This window comes from Homo sapiens, chromosome 16 (assembly GCF_000001405.40).
Source record: "Homo sapiens chromosome 16, GRCh38.p14 Primary Assembly".
In the NCBI taxonomy this organism is placed as follows: domain Eukaryota; kingdom Metazoa; phylum Chordata; class Mammalia; order Primates; family Hominidae; genus Homo; species Homo sapiens.
The window spans coordinates 77,213,376-77,231,141 of record NC_000016.10 but is presented as its reverse complement, the minus strand read 5'-3'; the positions used below and the strand labels follow the sequence as shown (position 1 = coordinate 77,231,141).

The window sequence follows — 17,766 nt, the reverse complement described above, 5'->3', positions numbered from 1 at the left end:
AAGAAATCTTGCCTTGCATGAGTTGCGGGTGGACAGGGAGGGGTCCAGAATGGTGAGAGGTAGTAGTGGGATGTATGGCTGGAAAGGTAGGTTCACATAAGACCATTAGAGAGGGACTTGCATTCTGGAATAAAGTTTTCGGATTTGACCCTGTAGTTCATGGGAAACCAGAGAAGTAAAGAGCTATAAGTGAATTAGTTCTGACTACAATGTGACTGACAAATGGAAATGAACAAGGCTAGAGGCAGAGTGGGAAATGAAGTTCTCCCGTAGCCATGTAAGTGGCAATGCCAATCTGAGCTAGGATATTGGCGCTCCAGAAAACACAAAGATGGACGTGAGAACACAGCCGGCAGATATGAGGAAATAAGCAATAGGAATTTAACACAGTATTATAAGTTCTATTTCAAAATTTCAAAAATACTTGCCTTTGCAATGCAAACTGAAAGAGCCACAATAAAAATATCAATTTTCTTCACAGCAGGACACCTGGGCAATGTCCGGAATGAATGAGCTTCAGTGAACCATTCTAATGGCAACCCTAGTTCAGCAAAATGAACAAAGGACTGTGAAGGGTGATCGGAAGCCAGTAATTCCTGGATCCTTTCATGGAAAAGGGCCTTTGGAATTTTAAAAGTGACATATCAGGCCAGGCGCAGTGGCTCACGCCTGTAATCCCAGCACTTTGGGAGGCCGAGGCGGGCAGATCCCCTGAGGTCGGGAGTTCGAGACCAGCCTGACCACCATGGAGAAACCCTGTCCCTACTAAAAAAAAAAAAAAAAAAAAAAAAAAAAAATTAGCCATGCATGGTGGCACAAGCCTGTAATCCCAGCTATTCCAGAGGCTGAGGCAGGAGAATTGCTTGAACCTGGGAGGTGGAGGTTGCGGTGAGCCGAGATTGTGCCACTGCACTCCAGCCTGAGCAACAAGAGTGAAATTCTGTCTCAAAGAAAAGAAAACAAAAGTGACATATCAGAGCTAAAGAGCCATCAATTTAATTTAAAAATTTGAAATGGATGATGTGGATTTGTTAGAGAAGTCTCGCCGTGGTCTAGCTCGTGAATAATTTTATAGCATGGAGGTCGTTAGTATATTTTGGTAATTGTTTTTCAGCTTCATTTTTGTAGAAACCAACTATTCAAGGGCCCTCAGGCTTAAAGGGAATTAAAATAGGGTATAAGGTAAAGGTCATTACTCTGTAAAGCTATAGCTTCCATTGACTCAAATGGAAAATGTCATTCCCCTAAAGACAGTCAGAGGACTCTCATATGATATAGTGGAAGGTATATAGATTTTGGATCCAGGTGGGCCTCCTTTGACTTATTTGAGCTGTTTTTTGACCTTGAACAAAACACAGAATCTCTCAGAAATTAGGTTTCCTCCCCCATCTATTAAAAAAAAAGGGGGGAAAAGACTGGGCGTGGTGGCTCATGCCAGTAATCCTAGCACTTTAGGAGGCCAAGGCAGGGTGATTACCTGAGGTCAGGAGTTCGAGACCAGTCTGGCCAACCTGGTGAAACCCCATCTCTACTAAAAATACAAAAATTAGCCAGGCGTGATGGTGTGCACCTGTAATCCCAGCTACTCAGGAGGCTGAAGCAGGAGAATTGCTTGAATCCAGGAGGCGGATGTGCAGTGAGCCGAGATCACGCCACTGCACTCCAGCCTGGGCAACAAGAACAAAACTCTGTTTCAAAAAAAAGGGTGGTGGGGAAATGGCAAACAATGCACACAATTCTTGGTAGAATTAAATAATGTGAAACAACATCAGTCCAAGTCACATCATAAAACTATTTCATGCTTATAATTGTACCAAAAAAATTTTATAAGTCCCTATAGTATCTGTGCAAGCCTCATTTTCATTTGTTTCTTTCACTGTGTGGTTGCCAATCAGGCTTTTCTTTCTCTCAAATATACAAATATCCTTTCTGCCTAATGCTGTTAATTCTGTTTAGAATTACCCCGTCTCCCATATACCCACCTCCTTTAGTCTTTAGGTCTCAGATTAAATGTCACCATGTTCAGAGGATCTTACTGATTTCTCTAAATTAGACTAGACTCCTGTGATCTCACTGGTAGTGCCCTGCAGTTCTTCAAAACCCTTCTCATAAAGTCATCACATCATTCTTTATGTAATTATTTGCTGATGGTCTTTCTTCCCTGTTAGCTCATTGAGGGCTAGAACAGAATCCTTCCTCATTACAGTAGTTCTAGTAGTGCCTAGTGCACTCACTGCCACGTTGCTGGTGGTTAAGTATTTGTTGAATGAAAGAATAAATGAATGAGTACAGTTCAGTAGCCAGACCTCTTATTTATTTGAACAATTGAAACGGAAGACAAGCCACATGGGAAGATGCTGAGCTGAGATTTTGCAGCTGACTGCTGGAGCTGACTCTGAAATGGAGATCAGCATTCTGAATGTTGATTAGGGACTGATCTTGGGATCAACTCCCATGGAAGAGAAAGAAAGGGAAAGAAAGGAAGCAGGATTGAGCAGAGGGAGAAATTTCAATGGAAGCATTAGCCACCCTCATGGAGAGTTTTAAGATGGGTTGGCCATTCCAAGCCACCCCATGTTCAGCCACGAGGGTCAGGCCTTCATGACCCGTGGGCTTTTTTACACTTCTAAGCCAAATGGTTATTGCATGTGGCCTCCCCCAAGAAGAGGCATAACTTTAATGGAGTTGACCCTTGCTGAGGGGGTTCTTGAAGGGGACTGACACTGAGGGCAGCTTTCCAGCAGCAGCAGTACTGCTAGCAGCTGCAGGAATAAGCCCTCTGTTCCCAAAGTGGGATCCAGGTGGTGCAGTGCAACATTCACCCTGACTGACAGCATTTCGGTACAGATGTTCTCTATCAGGTATCCAGGGGGGCTTGACTTGGCATTGGGTTTGGTAGCAGGGACTTCAAGCTCTCTCTCCCACACTGGCTGCTGGTGACTTTAGCCAGAGACCGTAAAAAGTACCCATTCATGAAATATACTTTTGTGGCTTCTATCTGGGTTACAACCCATGAGGAAGCAACAACAATGCAGAGCTGGAAGGGAACAGAGTTCAGAATAAAGCGTGGCATGGTTGTGAAGATCAATAGACTTGAGTTTAAATGCAGTATTAGCTATGAGAACTACAGAAGGCTGCAAAACTTCTCAGAGCCTCAGCCCCCTCATGGGCAAGAGGATGACTCAAAGTGTTAGTAAGAGTCTGTAACACAGCAGGTACTTTCCATATATGAATTCCCTTTCTACACTCCCCCCCGCCCAACACACACATGAACTTCAATCAGGCCTTTACCTTAACATCCCAACCATCATCCATACTGGCTCTGGCACGCTCGTTACCTGCTGCTTTCCCTGTTGGATTGCCTCTGGTTATGGAGCTTGCCCCATCCAACGTGGCTGCTGATTCTACTGCTGGACAGTGGTATCTGTTAGCAAGTCCTCATTTGCCTCTCTGGTTCCTTTATCCCATGATATATGCTCAGATATACAAAGATGATATTTAGTACCCAGGTATCTCTTCTTCAGAATAAATATTCTTAAATCCTTCAGCCTTAGCTCTCGTAATCTACACTTCAAAACCTCTATCCTACTAGCCCCTTCCTCCATCTGAATGGGCTTTATTTTGTTAATATTCAACTCAAACTGAGTTTATTATAGTTTTATAAAATGCCCTGAGCAGGGACAAGTTGGCACAACCATGATCTCCTTGTTCTGCATACTAGAGTTCTATCAATGGTTTAAGGTGCAAAACCAGTTTTAAAGAGTTATCAAACATTCTTGCACAATGTAATCTAAACCCTCAAGATCTGTTTCACAGGAACCTCCGCTAAATTGTTTATACCCTAACCCTGGTAGTTCGGCATCATATATATTATTCACACTAATCCCATAAGAATGTTGACTCTGACCTCTGTTTTCAGAGTTTCCGTATACCAGTCCTCTCTCCCTATGAACTATTTAAGGCTGGGATTTCTGTTGCACACGTTGAAGTATGGAAAACAGTGACATTGATGCATGCCTTCATTGGTCACAACTTTGTAGTGTGTTTTAAGCGTTTATTTCGGTAAACTCATTGTTAAATTTATTTTTAAAACATTTGTATTATCATATATGAAAACCTAGTACTACTTGTCTGCAAAAGAAGGTAAACAAATGTATTAAAGTCTAGAAAAATATATTTGCTTGTCAAAGGCTTTATTTTAAAGGGGACATTAGAAGTTTAGAGATGTGTTTCAGGCACTTTAAACTAAAATAAGATGTTTTTAAAAAATGTATTTAAACAATCTTTGGAAATTTTTGAACGGAGAAAAACATTCTACCATGTGATTCAATGCTATTGAGCACCAGTGCCACATAGATCACAAGTGATTGTTGTCCCACACTTTGGGAAAATATCTAAGCCACTGATAAAAAGTATTACATTGACAGACTATTTAGTATTCTTAGCTGGGATCCAGGGTGAACACATAGATATGCCTATCATTCCCATCAAAGCACAGACTTCATAATCCCCTTAATGTGGAAGGGAGAGAAAGTGACATCTTATTTTATCTTCACAACAACATTATTAAAACTGGGATTATCTGACTTTCTAATTTACAAGTGATGTAATTGAAGATTAGAGAGCAAAATAATTTGTCCTGGGTCACACTTTTAATTGTGAGGAAGATTCCAGGTTTGAACCCAAAATTCCTGACTCCAAAGGGTATTTTTATTTTTATTCCATCACAAAAAGTGGAAGAATTCAGGAACTCTTCCTTGTGATAGTTCAAGAATTCTCAAACCTGGGCATTAGAATCACCTGGCAGGCTTGTTAAACCCAAATTGCTGGGCTCTGCCCCAGTTTCCAATTCAATAGATCTGGGGTGGGACCCAATAATTTGCATCTCTAATAAGTTCCCAGGTGATGCTGATGCTGTTATTCCAGGGATCACATTTCCAGAAGCACTATCTTAGTCAATAGGTATCCTTTTATGTCTGGATAAATGGTTTGCAACTCCAACTGCACATAACCAACTGAAAATTTTTAAAATAAATATACTCGGGCATTATCCCAAACTGAGTGAATTATACCTTCTGAAAGGGATTCCGGGCACTTTGTAGCACCGCTATTGATTGTAGCATGTAGTGCAGTTTGAGAATCAGTGGGTGACAGCAGATACACAGGGGTTCCAAAGCTTGCAGTTACTAACACAAGTGTATTAGTCCATTTTCACACTGCTATAAATACCTGAGACTGAATAATTTATAATGAAGAGGTTTAATTGACTCACCTTTCTGCATGGCTGGGAGTGCCTCAGGAAACTTACAATCATGGTGGGAGACGAAGGGGGAAGCAAGGCACTTCTTACATGGCAGCAGCAGGAGAGAGAAAGAGAGAAGGGGAAACTGCACCTTGTAAACCATCAGATCTCGTGAGAACTCCCTCACTGTCACACTAACAGCAAGGGGGAAACTGCCCCCATGATCCAACGACCTCCCTCCACCAAGTTCCTATCCTGACACATGGGGATTATAATTTGAGATGAGATTTGGGTGGGGACACAAAGCCAAACCATACCAACAAGTGTGTTTCTGATGCTTATTACTTTTGTTCTCTAGCCTTTCTTCAGATGAATAACTGTACTGTTGAGATTTTCCTCTAATTTGCTCTTCAGGACTCTCTGGAGAGTGGCGATAAAGCTTGGCCCTGCTAGGGCTCCAGGGGAGATGTTCACAGGTGTTTACAGTGTGTCTTTCACATGATGCTTCTTTATCCTGATTGACAGCCTAATGCCTGAGTCTGATCCATAGCCAGCTGTCTCTCTCAAAGGAAATCCAGCAGACACGCTTTGTGGCTCTTGTCTGATCTGTGTCCAGTTTATTTCTGCCAAGATAGCCACTCTCTAGGAGAGCGTGTTGTAAGTGATAACACTCCTGGAGCCCCTGGACCTTGCATTTTGGTTTCCTATTCTCCTTATGTCCTAGTTAAGGTTCAGGTGTGCCAGTCAGGAGAGACAGAAGGAAAATGGGAAAACGAAATGCATGACATGAGAGATGACCAGCAGGAGCACGCCTTTATCAAGGTCTAGGGGCTCCAGGAGTGTTCTCACTTAGGCTTTCCACAGGGGGTTGTGAATTTGCTAGTTTAAGGAAAATACGTGTGAGAAAGGGAACTTACCTACACGACTCTGGTGTTGGCCACTGGGTTTTATCACAGTCAGCAGCTGTGGGATATGTTGGGTTTGGGTTCAGTGGGATGAGGAACAAGTGGGCTATATTGCAAACAGCCACATGGGGAGAGGAAGTTTTAACTAGACCAAAGGTGACAGGGTACAACTGGACTTCAAACAACTTATGTCAGGCCTAACAACGGATGCCAAGGCAGCAACTGCATTAAACAAGTTTATGACATAGACATAACCCAGAAATGGTCATCTCTATGCATACGCTTAGCTTGCATGGGAATAGAGATAGAATAATTGCTACTTCATGATCCACATCAGAGAAGGAATTGTTCTTTTGATAGAACCTATTCAAATGTATGTTGACTTTCTGCTTGGCATCTTGGAGCAATAGGAAGGTGTATATTTCTATTGCTGGAAAGCCCTCTCGATCTCACATTCAATCACCAGGTGCATGCAGGCCTAAGCCCCCTTTGGGGTGTGTAGGTAATCTCTATTTCCATGCCAGCACTGGCCTAGTTACAGTACTAGGAATTCGTTCTGAACAACTGCAACATTTCTGACTTCCACCTCCTTCTAGACTCCCAGGGCTGTCAACAAGTCGTGTCTTTCATCCTCATCAGGTCCTTTTACATTCCCACAGCAAGAAAGGAAAAGCAGCCCATGATGTATTTTTTTAACAAGCCACTGGGGATACCCTGGAGCCAGTATTAAAAAAGCACGCCTGGCTGAGCACGATGACTCACGCCTGTAATCCCAGCACTTTGGCAGGCCAAGGTGGGCGGATCACTTGAGGTCAGGAGCTCGAGACCAGCCTGGCCAACATGGTGAGACCCCTGTCTCTACTAAAAATACAAAAATTAGCCGGGCATGGTGGCACACACCTGTAATCCCGGCTACTCAGGAGGCTGAGGCAGGGGAATCACTTGAACTCGGGAGGCGGAGGTTGCAGTGAGCTGAGATCACACAAGTGCACTCCGGCCTGGGTGACAGAGCGAGACTCCATCTCAATAAATAAATAAATAAATAAATAAATAAATAAATAAATAAAAGCATGCCTCAAACTTACTCCAGCCAAACGCCAAAGGAGCTGGAGAATTTATGCACAGTAAGAGTCCTATCAAGGGAGAAAAACTATGCAATAATTTGAACAGATAAAGTTTAAAATACATCATTATTAACTAAAATGGGATATTGGGGCAGTGAGGGGTTCACTAGGAAAAAGCAAAGAAAACTCTGAAGCATACAGAAAGAGCCGACCTACGCAGCAGCTACTGCCTGCAGGGCTGAGCTGGAGCGTCCAAGGGAGACCCTCTACCCACAGGGTGAGGTCAGGTCCTAGTTGGACAGGTCATGGCTGTGACTCACTGAAGGGCAAAGAAGTTGCTGTAGTGCTGCCTTTGTAGAACTTTCTGGAAATCTGCCCTCTAAACCTTGCCAGAAATCCATCTTCTGAGGTGTTGGGGAACGTTGTTCATGGAGAGGTGTCTCACTAGAGTCACTGCTACAAAACTACCAAAGATGGTGTCTTGGGACGCTGCTGGCTGCCATGCGCTACAGGAACCTGCGCTGGAGAAGTCGTCCACCCTGCAGAAACCTACCTAGCCGGAAGACCAGAACCAAAGCAGAAACGTCTCCCTGGCGCCCTCTACTGAGCAAAGCTTAACATCGTGTCAGCTGGCAAAGGAAACTGTTTCAAGGGCCTGATCCATTTTCACAAGGCAGGTGGTAAAGGTGAATTTGGAGCTGAGAGGCAATACATTGTTAACTGGCATATACACCCAATCCTATCGGTCAATAGATGAAGACTGTTCTGAGGCTTAGGGAGGCAGAAATTCATTCTGCAACACTTCTAGCCCACCAGACAAATAGGCCAGGCATACTTCAGCATCCATGTCATGGAAAAATGTCATGGAAAGGAATTTATGTCCTGGCAGATGGAAGCCGGCCTGGCGTGCAATGAGGTGTAAGACAAGTGAGTACAGGTAGGCGCTGACCCTATCTGCTAGAATCAGTATTCCATTTTCCACCTGCAATAAGATCATGATTGTGTTCATGCACAAGCAGGCCAACCCCAACCAGAATCCCATAGGAAGATGTGTTTCCTGGCACTTCTCCTGGTAGCAAGATTGTCAGTCAGGGTCTAATCAGATAAAAAGATAGAATTTATTTAAAGCAGAGGGAATATAATTGCAGGTGTGATTGTTAATTTTAATGTGTCAACTTGACTGGGATAGGAGACAGCCAGAGAGATAGAAAAATATTACTTCTGGTTGTGTCTGTGAGGCTGTTTCTGGAAGAGAGTAGCATTTGAATCAGTCCACTAAGGGAAGAAGACTCACCCACACCGGTGTTGCGGAGCATCACCTCATCTATTGAGGGCCCATCTAAATAAGACAAAAAGCCAGAAGAAAGGTAAATTGACTGTCTTTTTGAGCTGGGACATCCATCTTTTCTTGCCCTCAGACATCAGAGCTCCTGGTTCTCAGGCCTTCAGACTCCAGGGACTTAAGCCAGTGCCTCCTTCAGTCTCAGAGTGGGAGTTATACCACTGGCTCCTCTCTTTCTCAGGTCTTCCAACTTGGACTGAATTACACCCTGACTTTCCTGGTTCTCCAGCTTGCAAATGGTATATCGTGGGACCTCTCGGCCACCATAGTCACATGAGCCAATTCCCATAATAATTCTCCATATATGTGTGTGTCTGTGTGTATCTTTTTGGTTCTTTTCCTATGGAGAACCTGGACTAATACAGCAAGGAATTGCAGGTGCTGGAGGATCTGAGAACCAAACATGTGAGTAGCAGTTAAAAAGAGATTATCATTGGGAGGCCGAGGTGGGCAGACCACTTGAGGTCAGGAGTTTGAGACCAGCCTGGAGAACATGGTGAAACCCTGTCTCTACTAAAAAAGAAAATACAAAAATTAGCTGGGCCTGGTGGCAGACATCTGTAATCCCAGCTCCTTGGGAGGCTGAGGCAGGAGAATCACTAGAACCTGGGAGGCAGAGGTTGCAGTGAGCCAAGATCATGCCACTGCAATCTAGCCTGAGTGACTGGGAGACTCCATCTCAAAAAAAAAAAAAAAAAAAGAGAGAGAGAGAGAAATTATCAGGGAGTCAGAGTTAACAGTGCCCAGCGCCTGGGATCACTCGATGGAGGCTGCAAGCAGAATAGATTTGTCTAGGAGGAGGTAGAGCCACTGAGAAAAAGCCACCATTATTCTAACACTGCTTCCTTCTGGATGACTCCACTCACAACCCAGATGGCTGGAATCTTAGGCAATAGAGCTTACAGGGGAAGGGAAAGGAATGCCCGTGAAGGCAAACAATCTCCAAACTGGAAAATTAGGCAAGATTGTTGGCTGAAGACACTGGGTTATGTAGGTTGTTATTACATAAAAAGGAAGAGAAATGCCGCATGAAAGATTACATACATTGAAGAAAAAGGCATGGATGGGAAATGTCCATAACATTCACACTATGAAACAGGATAACTGAGAGTGGTATTGCTCTTAATTCCTTTAAAGACATGAGACTGACTTTATCTTCGGAGGTAGTGAGTTTGATTCAATTATTAACTTGCATCTGATTGTGATAATAGTGAATTTTTAAATTCAGGATGTCGCCTCTTTTTTTTTCCCCCTTTTTTGAAATAAAACTCTGGAATTCTTACTGCTTCCAGAACCTATTTTAATCTTCAGACCTTGGAAGGTATTCATATCTCATAAGAGTAACGTAATATATGGGGGCAAAGATGCAGCCAAGTAGCTCAGCACTGAAAGCTAAGATGAAGAAGAACCCCATGGCTTCCAGGACCTTCCCCTTGATGCTGTGGTCGGCAAGGAGGGAGGTGACTGCAGAACACCAGCATGCTGAACATCAAGAACTTGACTTATTGAAGGTGTCAGGCAAACCCATGGCCAGGAAAGCCAAGGTAAAGCTCCCCAGGGTCAAGGAGCCCAGGTATCCTAGGACATGGTAGAAGACAGTGCTGAAACCTCACTGCGTGTGAGAACTACAGATCCAAGCTTAGAGAGTGTGTCTGTGTCAATGAAGGGAGGAAAGTTTCTCAGCCCGAGCTGACAGATCAGGAGACAGATTCCACTTGGATTAGGGAGAATATAAAAAGGGCAAAATTAGGAGATCCTGATACCAATCACCATCTTATTCTCCCTGGCATTCTGGCCTTCAGAGCCAGAACTACAGTGATGGTTTTGGTCAGAATGATAGAAATAGCCATAGTAAACACAACTCCAAATGCTATTTGTTGGAGTCACCACGTAGCTGTGTGGGGGTGGCCAATGCATAGGGCAGAGCAGAGGAAGCACAGTGTGACGGAGGCCAGACTTTCAGCAGGGTGCAGCTGAAAGCCCATGTACTGGCTTTAACCGAGGGGATTTCCTGCTGCTTCACAAATACCCCAAGGACCACTGCAGTAAGGACAGAGAGGCAGGGCTGTGCAGGCCAGAGACATCCCCAAAGGGCCTTCAAAAGCCAAGAAGTTCACATCCTTTGGAAGACAGTAAATTCTCTGACTATTCTGATATTGATCATCTGGACACTTCTTATACTGAATAGTATCTGAAAAACAAAGCAATGGTTTTTTGTTCAAGATTCATAAATCCTTACTGATTCCCAGAAACAAAAAAGTCATTTTTGGCCTTGTAGGGCACCTTGTCCATCTCAGTGCTATACTCAAATGTCATGCTTTTTAGCATGTTACAGAAGCAATAATTTCAAACTAACATGCCAATTCTCTCCTTGGTTTTATTTCCCAAAATAACATTTTCTCTCATTGTTCATTTCTCCACATGCCAACGAATTATTTTCCATTTTCTTTCATAATGAAAGCATTATACTCCCTTAAAAATTTAAATATCCATTCTCTAGGCCAAGAGTCCACAAACTATAGCCTACAGGTCAAATCTAGCCATTAGTAATTTTATAGGGCTTATAATCTATGAATGTTTTAATACTTTTAGATGGTTGCATTTTAAATGGTTATACAAGTATTTACATACTTTCAATTTCACCTCTTGGCTTGCAAAGTCTAAAATATTTACTATTTGGCCCGCTAAGAAAAACATTTCCTGACCTCTGCCTTCTCCTGGATTATTTACACAAATGACAATTATTTTCTAAGAATTTACACTGAACCAGATGCCTTATTAAGAATGGGGACCTGTTCAACTTTTAACAGGTATCAAAGAGGCCCTCAGGTTCTAATAGCTAAATATTTCTTAGTGTATCCCTTCCACATTTCGAGGTAGAATTCCATCAGCTTGATGTGGCAGGAAAGGTCTTAATCATCTTGTTTGTACATAGGTTTCTGGCCTTATCTTTTGTCATAAACTAAACACTGGATCAAAAGATTCTGATGTAGAGATTTATGTATCATACTCACAGTGCTCATGCCTTCTCGCTTTGCCATGACCTTCTTCAACAGGGAGTTTCTTTTGCTCTCTTCTTTGCTTGACTAATTCCTACTTGCCTTTAACAACGTAGTCAACATTACCTGCATTAGGATGTGCCTGCATGCCTCCCCACACTCTAGTATGTACCTGTGTCTTTGAACCCTTTGTCCTGGGTTGCCTTCCTCATTAGGCTATGAATTATCAATGACAGTATAGTTTTATTAAACAAACCCTGAAAAATTAGATACCTAAATAGACAGTCAAGTAAAGAAACATACGAAGAAAAATATTCCTAAAAATACATTTATTGTCCGGGCGTGGTGGCTCACGCCTGTAATTCCAGCACTTTGGGAGGCTGAGGTGGGTGGATCACCTGAGGTCAGGAGTTCAAGACCAGCCTGGCCAACATGGTGAAACCCCATCTCTACTAAAAATACAAAAAATTAGCTGGGCATGGTGGCAGGTGCCTGTAATCCCAGCAATTCGGGAGGCTGAGGCAGGAGAATTGCTTGAACCCAGGAGGCAGAGGTTGCAGTGAGCCGAGATAGTGCCACTGCACTCCAACCTGGGCAACAGAGTGAGACTCAGTCTCAAAAAAAAAAAATTACTGTAGCAACATTATTATCAGGTAAAATAGAATTCAAAGAGATATACAGAGGAGAAGAACACATAAAATAAAAATTAGGCCAGGTGCGGTGACTAACGCCTGTAATCCCCGCACTTTGGGAGGCCAAGGCAGGCGGATCACCTGAGGTCGGGAGTTGGAGAACAGCCCGACTAACATGGAGAAACCCTATCTCTTCTAAAAATACAAAATTAGCTGGGCATGGTGATGCATGCCTGTAATCCCAGCTACCCAGGAGGCTGAGGCAGGAGAATTGCTTGAACCCGGGAGGCGGAGGTTGTGGTCAACTGAGATCACACCATTGCGCTCCAGCCTAGGCAACAAGAGTGAAACGCTATCTCAAAAAAAAAAAAAAAAAAAACTAAACAGATAAAACAGACTCTTTTCTCCTTTAGAAGGCTCAATATAATGATACTAATTTCCTGCATGTTAATGTATATATTTCATTCAATACAAATATCAAATAATAATAGGGGTTTTTTGTTGTTGTTGCTGCTGTTTAATTTTTTTTGAAACAGAGTCTCACACTGCCACAAGGCTAGAGTGCAGTGGCGTGATCTCTGCTCACTGCAACCTCCGCCTCCTGGGTTCAAGTGATTCTCCTGCCTCAGCCTCCCTAGTAGCTGGGACTACAGGCTTGTGCCACCACATCCAGCTAATTTTTTGTATTTTTAGTAGAGACAGGGTTTCACCATGTTAGTCAGGATGGTCTTGATTTCCTGACCTCATAGTCTGCCTGCCTCTGCCCACCAAAGTGCTGGGATTACAGCTGTGAGCCACTGCGCCCAGTCAGGTTTTTTGTTTTTTTGTTTTTTTTTTTTTTTTGGAAATAGACAATATGATTCTAGAGTATGCATAGGAAAGAAACTACCCTTGAAAAATTCTGAAACAGTAGGAAAATATAGAGGAGGTCTCACCAAGTGAGTTTCATAATATTATTTAAGGGTATAATAATAAAAAGTTTGGTATTTGTGTATAAATAGGTAACTAGATAAAGGAATAGAATAAACAGTTCAGAAATTGACCAAAATAGACATGATTATTTGGTATATGGCGAGGATGGCATTGCAGTTGGGGGGATACATGTGCTATTCAGTAAATTCTCTCCAGATTATGTACAGACACAAAATAAATTCCAAATAGTTCAAATATAAACTAAATTATAAAAGCATTAGGGCCCGGGAGCAGTGGCTCACACCTATAATCCCAGCACTTTTGGAGGCTGAGGTGGGTGGATCACCTGAGGTCAGGAGTTTGAGACCAGCCTGGCCAACATGGTGAAACCCCGTCTCTATTAAAAATACAAAAATTAGCTGGATGGGATGGTGGGTGCCTGTAATCCCAGCTCCTCGGGACGCTGCTACAGAATTGCTTGAACCCAGGAGGCAGGGCTTGCGGTGCGCCGAGACTGCACCACTGTACTCCAGCCTAGGCAACAGAGCGAGACTCCATCTTACTAAATAAATAAATAAATAAATAAATGTATTAGAAACGGTGACTTAACATATGGTGGGCAGGAGGGTGGGCAAGTGGTCTCTTCAGGGCAGGGTCCTCGCTAGTGCTGTGGGCACCAGAAGGGGAAGAACAGCCATGTGCTCTCCTCTGGGTAGTAGGATACTGAAATTGGGATATTTTGGGGTGTATGTTTTTTGAAGCTTTGACTGTGATTTTTAAACAATAAAATGTTCTAAAAATATAAAGGTAACCACTGAGAAAGATATTTAATCTCAGAGTGGAAGAGAAATTTATAGGTAATGGGCATTTTAGATAATGTAGGTTTAATAAGACTTTAGAAATAAGAAGACACACGGAAAGTAAAACAGGCTTTCCAAAAATGAGGCACAAAATATAAAGACAATGACTCCAGAAAAGAAGGTCATTAAATGCCTACTGGCTTTCATAAGATACAATTGGAAGGAATCTTTATAACTCTTAAATAGGTCTGATCACAGAAGTAAAACATGACTGCACACACTTGGAAGAAATCAATTAATTTTAGCAGGGCATGGTGACTCACGCCTATAATCCCAGCACTTTGGGAGGCCAAGGTGGGTGGATCATTTGAAGTCAGGAGTTTGAGACCAGCCTGGCCAATATGGTGAAACCCTGTGTCTACTAAAACTACAAAAATTAGCCGGGCGTGTTGGTGGGCACCTGTAGTCCCAGCTACTTGGGTGGCTGAGACAGGAGAATCGCTTGAACCCGGGAGGTGGAGGTTGCAGGGAGCCGAGATTGTGCCACTGCACTCTAGCCTGGGCGACAGAGTGAGAGTCCATCTCAAAAAATAAATAAATAAAAATAAAAAAAGAGATAAATTAATTTCAGAGTTAACACCAAGGAAGGACTACAAGACAAAAAACAGGCACCTAGGCTATTCAAATCATCTCCATCTAATAATGACTTGATAATGAAAGGAAGAAGAATGGAACTAATGTAATCTTTGGGTAAATGTTACTCAAGATTCCAATGAGAAAGATGCTGGGTAGGATTACGGTGAGTAATAGGTCACAAAAACAGAGTTTGAGTTTTGTAGGAAAATGGAAAATGAAGTCTAGGTACTTGTGAATTTTGTAGGTATGGCAAATATGTTAATTCTGCCACTGACCAGTCCCTTAAAACAGCTGGTAGATCAGCAAATAGAATATGCACGGACCTCTCACTGTTCTACTCACTGGTTAGCATCACTGCTTAACAAGATCCTAGAATGGAGAAAAGTAAGAGCTCAATATCCAGGTTCCCAGGAAAAGGTGGCCTGGGATTGTATTCACCTGTACTTGATGTTTTGATTGCTGTCTGAAATCTAAATGAACACAAAATTGAGAGATCAAAAAAGAAATGGTGGATGCCTTTGATTCTCTGAAACGTAACATGCTACATGTCCTCAAAACTTTATGAACGGCCAGTCAGGGTGGCTCACGCCTGTAATCCCAGCACTTTGGGAGGCCAAGGCGGGTGGATCACTTGAGGTCAGGAGTTTGAGACCAGCCTGGCCAACATGGTGAAACCCCGTCACTACTAAAAATACGAAAATTAGCTGGGTGTGGAGGTGGGCGCCTGTAATCCCAGTGACTCGGGAGGGTGAGGCAGGAGAATCCCTTGAACTCAGGAGGTGGAGGTTGCAGTGAGCCGTGATCTCGCCATTGCACTCCAGCCTAGGCAACAAGAATGAAACTCCATCTCAAAAAAAAAAAAAAAAAGGGAATTTAAGTAACCTAACTGTGTAACCTGAAGTTACACAGCTAGTATGCAGCAGAGCTGGGATTCTAACAAACACAGTCTGGCCCTGGGTTCTGTTCTGCTAACTAGTGTGCTCTATTAGGTAGTAATATTATTATCCTCCGGGAGATTCTACTGCAGTCACTTTGGCCACTCTCTCTTCCATGCCTTGTCTAGCTTGCTACTCAGGATGTGCTATGTTTGCATCTCTTCGGGCCCCTCCTCTGACTCCTCTGTTTTTCAGTGGGTTTCTTTCTGGCTTACTTTTTTCAAGAATGTCCTGGCCGGGTGCGGTTGCTCACGCCTGTAATCCCAGCATTCTGGGAGGCCGAGGCGGGCGGATCACGAGGGCAGGAGATCGAGACCATCCTGGATAACACGGTAAAACCCCGTCTCTACTAAAAATACAGAAAAACATTAGCCGGGTGTGGTAGCGGGCACCTGTAGTCCCAGCTACTCTGGAGGCTGAGGCAGGACAATGGCGTGAACCTGGGAGCCGGAGCTTGCAGTGAGCCGAGATGGCGCCACTGCACTCCAGCCTGGGCGACAGAGCGAGACTCCGTCTCAAAAATAAATAAATAAATAAATAAAAATAATAATAATAATAAAAAGAATGTCCTTCCGCCTTTTGGCAACACTGAGCTCCCCCAGGCTCATTCACATTTGAACCTGAACTACAAGCCAAGAAGCTTGAGAATTATGGTAATTGAATGCAAGCCCTGAGAAAAGCTGTTACAGGAAGTGAGTGAAGACTTCCCAGGCAGCTGTCAATTATTTCAATGAAAGGAGAAGTAGCCCTGCCAGGAAGGTCAGTTGAGTCAGGAGAACACAGGGCAAATCAAAAGCCAAAGTCTCGCTCTGTCGCCCAGGCTGGAGTGTAGTGGCGCCATCTTGGCTCACTGCAACCTCCGCCTTCCGGGTTCAAGCAATTCTCTGCCACAGCCTCCTGAGTAGCTAGGATTCCAGACACCTGCCACCACCAAACCAAGGGGTGTCACCATCTTGGCAAGGCTGGTCTTGAACTCCTGACCTCGTGATCCACCCGCCTCAGCCTCCCAGAGTGCTGGGATTACAGGCGTGAGCCACAGCACCCAGCTGGTCACTGCGTTTTAGAGACATTAAGCAATTTGCCTGAGGTCATCCAGCTGGTGAACAGGGAAACCAGGACTCGAATCCTAGGTGCCCAGTGGTAAATCGGCAGAATATCCAGGCTGACCCCATTTGTGTGACACAGAGAGGATGACAAAGAGGATACTGAAGTTCCTTAGAGATTCCTGGAGACTGGCCTTAGCAAGTAGGTGGTGTCAGTGGGGCAGGGGACCACAGCCTGGGCCTGGAGTCAGCTCTGCCCGGATGCGAGTGGTGACTCGGGGACTAAAGCTCCCTGGGCCTCATCTGTGGACTTGGGATAATAATGGCAACAAACGTGAGACCCAACGTTTATTGAGGGCTTACTGTACAGATTCACTATCTCAATTTTCCTCATCGCTAAATTGGGAATAACAGCAAGAATAGCAGTGAGAATAATAAATGATAGATACCATTTATTGAGCATTTATGTTATAAAAATCTCTGTTCTGAGAGATATACACACCTTAGTGTTCCTCATCTGTAGCCTGGGAATAATAATAATAAATCATATGAACCACTTACTGATCACTTAATGGACAGAAGCCTCTGATCTAAGTGAGTCACACATCTCAGTTCCCATTCTCTAGGGACTGGGAATAGTGAATCATCCCAACAATATGTGAGAGCTGGCATTCACTGAATACTGACTGTGTGCCAGGTCCTCTTCTACACACATTAGATAGTGTCCAACTTGACTGGTCCTTGGCAACTCTCCAGTGTCGTCTCCCATCCCACTCTACCTCATTCCACTCTACCACGCCGGCCTTCTCCAGACGTCTCCTCAAACACAGCGAAGTGCAGCCTCACCTCCCGCCTTGGCATGAGGCATGTCTTCTGCCAGGCCCACCTTTCCCCAGACACCCACAGGGCTCACCCCCTCGCTTCTCTACCTCGCTTCTCCGCTCAGATACCACTTCCTAGGTGAGGCCGTCGCTGACCGCGCTGTTTAAAATCCAGTGCTTAGAACAGTGCCTGGTACCCAGCAGGCAATCGGCAAATGCCTGCTTAGTCAGTACATGCTCAGTCAATGGCCGCAGCCTGCTGCTGGGTGCCTTTGGATTTGGGTCCCAAATGCCGGCCTCCAGAGTGGCGGACACATTTAACAGATCTGAGGTTGCCTGGGGGATGTGACCCCAGAGAAGGACCAGTAGGGCGAAGGCCCCGAGGGGACACGTGTTTTGGAATGTTTGAGACGGGTGGAGAGGCAGCCTTGGCTA

The 17,766-nt window shown here is 43.9% G+C and overlaps 1 pseudogene, besides 4 other annotated features; it reads right to left on the bottom strand.

The window, feature by feature from the left end:
* Positions 302 to 471: an enhancer, noted in NCBI's record as "experimental_45205 CRE fragment used in MPRA reporter constructs". NCBI's record gives its function as "activates a minimal promoter by MPRAs in K562 erythroleukemia cells, with activity observed for both the introgressed and non-introgressed 16:77264653 or rs12149296 variant alleles {active_cell/tissue: K562}" and the evidence as "EXISTENCE:reporter gene assay evidence [ECO:0000049][PMID:34662402]".
* Position 386: a transcriptional cis regulatory region, noted in NCBI's record as "Neanderthal adaptively introgressed variant 16:77264653 (GRCh37/hg19 assembly coordinates) or rs12149296 in the experimental_45205 CRE". NCBI's record gives its function as "modulates activity of the experimental_45205 enhancer by MPRAs in K562 erythroleukemia cells {active_cell/tissue: K562}" and the evidence as "EXISTENCE:reporter gene assay evidence [ECO:0000049][PMID:34662402]".
* Positions 4,643 to 4,812: an enhancer, noted in NCBI's record as "experimental_45200 CRE fragment used in MPRA reporter constructs". NCBI's record gives its function as "activates a minimal promoter by MPRAs in K562 erythroleukemia cells, with activity observed for both the introgressed and non-introgressed 16:77260312 variant alleles {active_cell/tissue: K562}" and the evidence as "EXISTENCE:reporter gene assay evidence [ECO:0000049][PMID:34662402]".
* On the bottom strand, positions 9,878 to 10,748 carry VN2R10P (vomeronasal 2 receptor 10, pseudogene; annotated as a pseudogene).
* Positions 10,557 to 10,666: an enhancer, noted in NCBI's record as "active region_11151". NCBI's record gives its function as "activates an Ori minimal core promoter by ATAC-STARR-seq in GM12878 lymphoblastoid cells {active_cell/tissue: GM12878}" and the evidence as "EXISTENCE:reporter gene assay evidence [ECO:0000049][PMID:35858748]".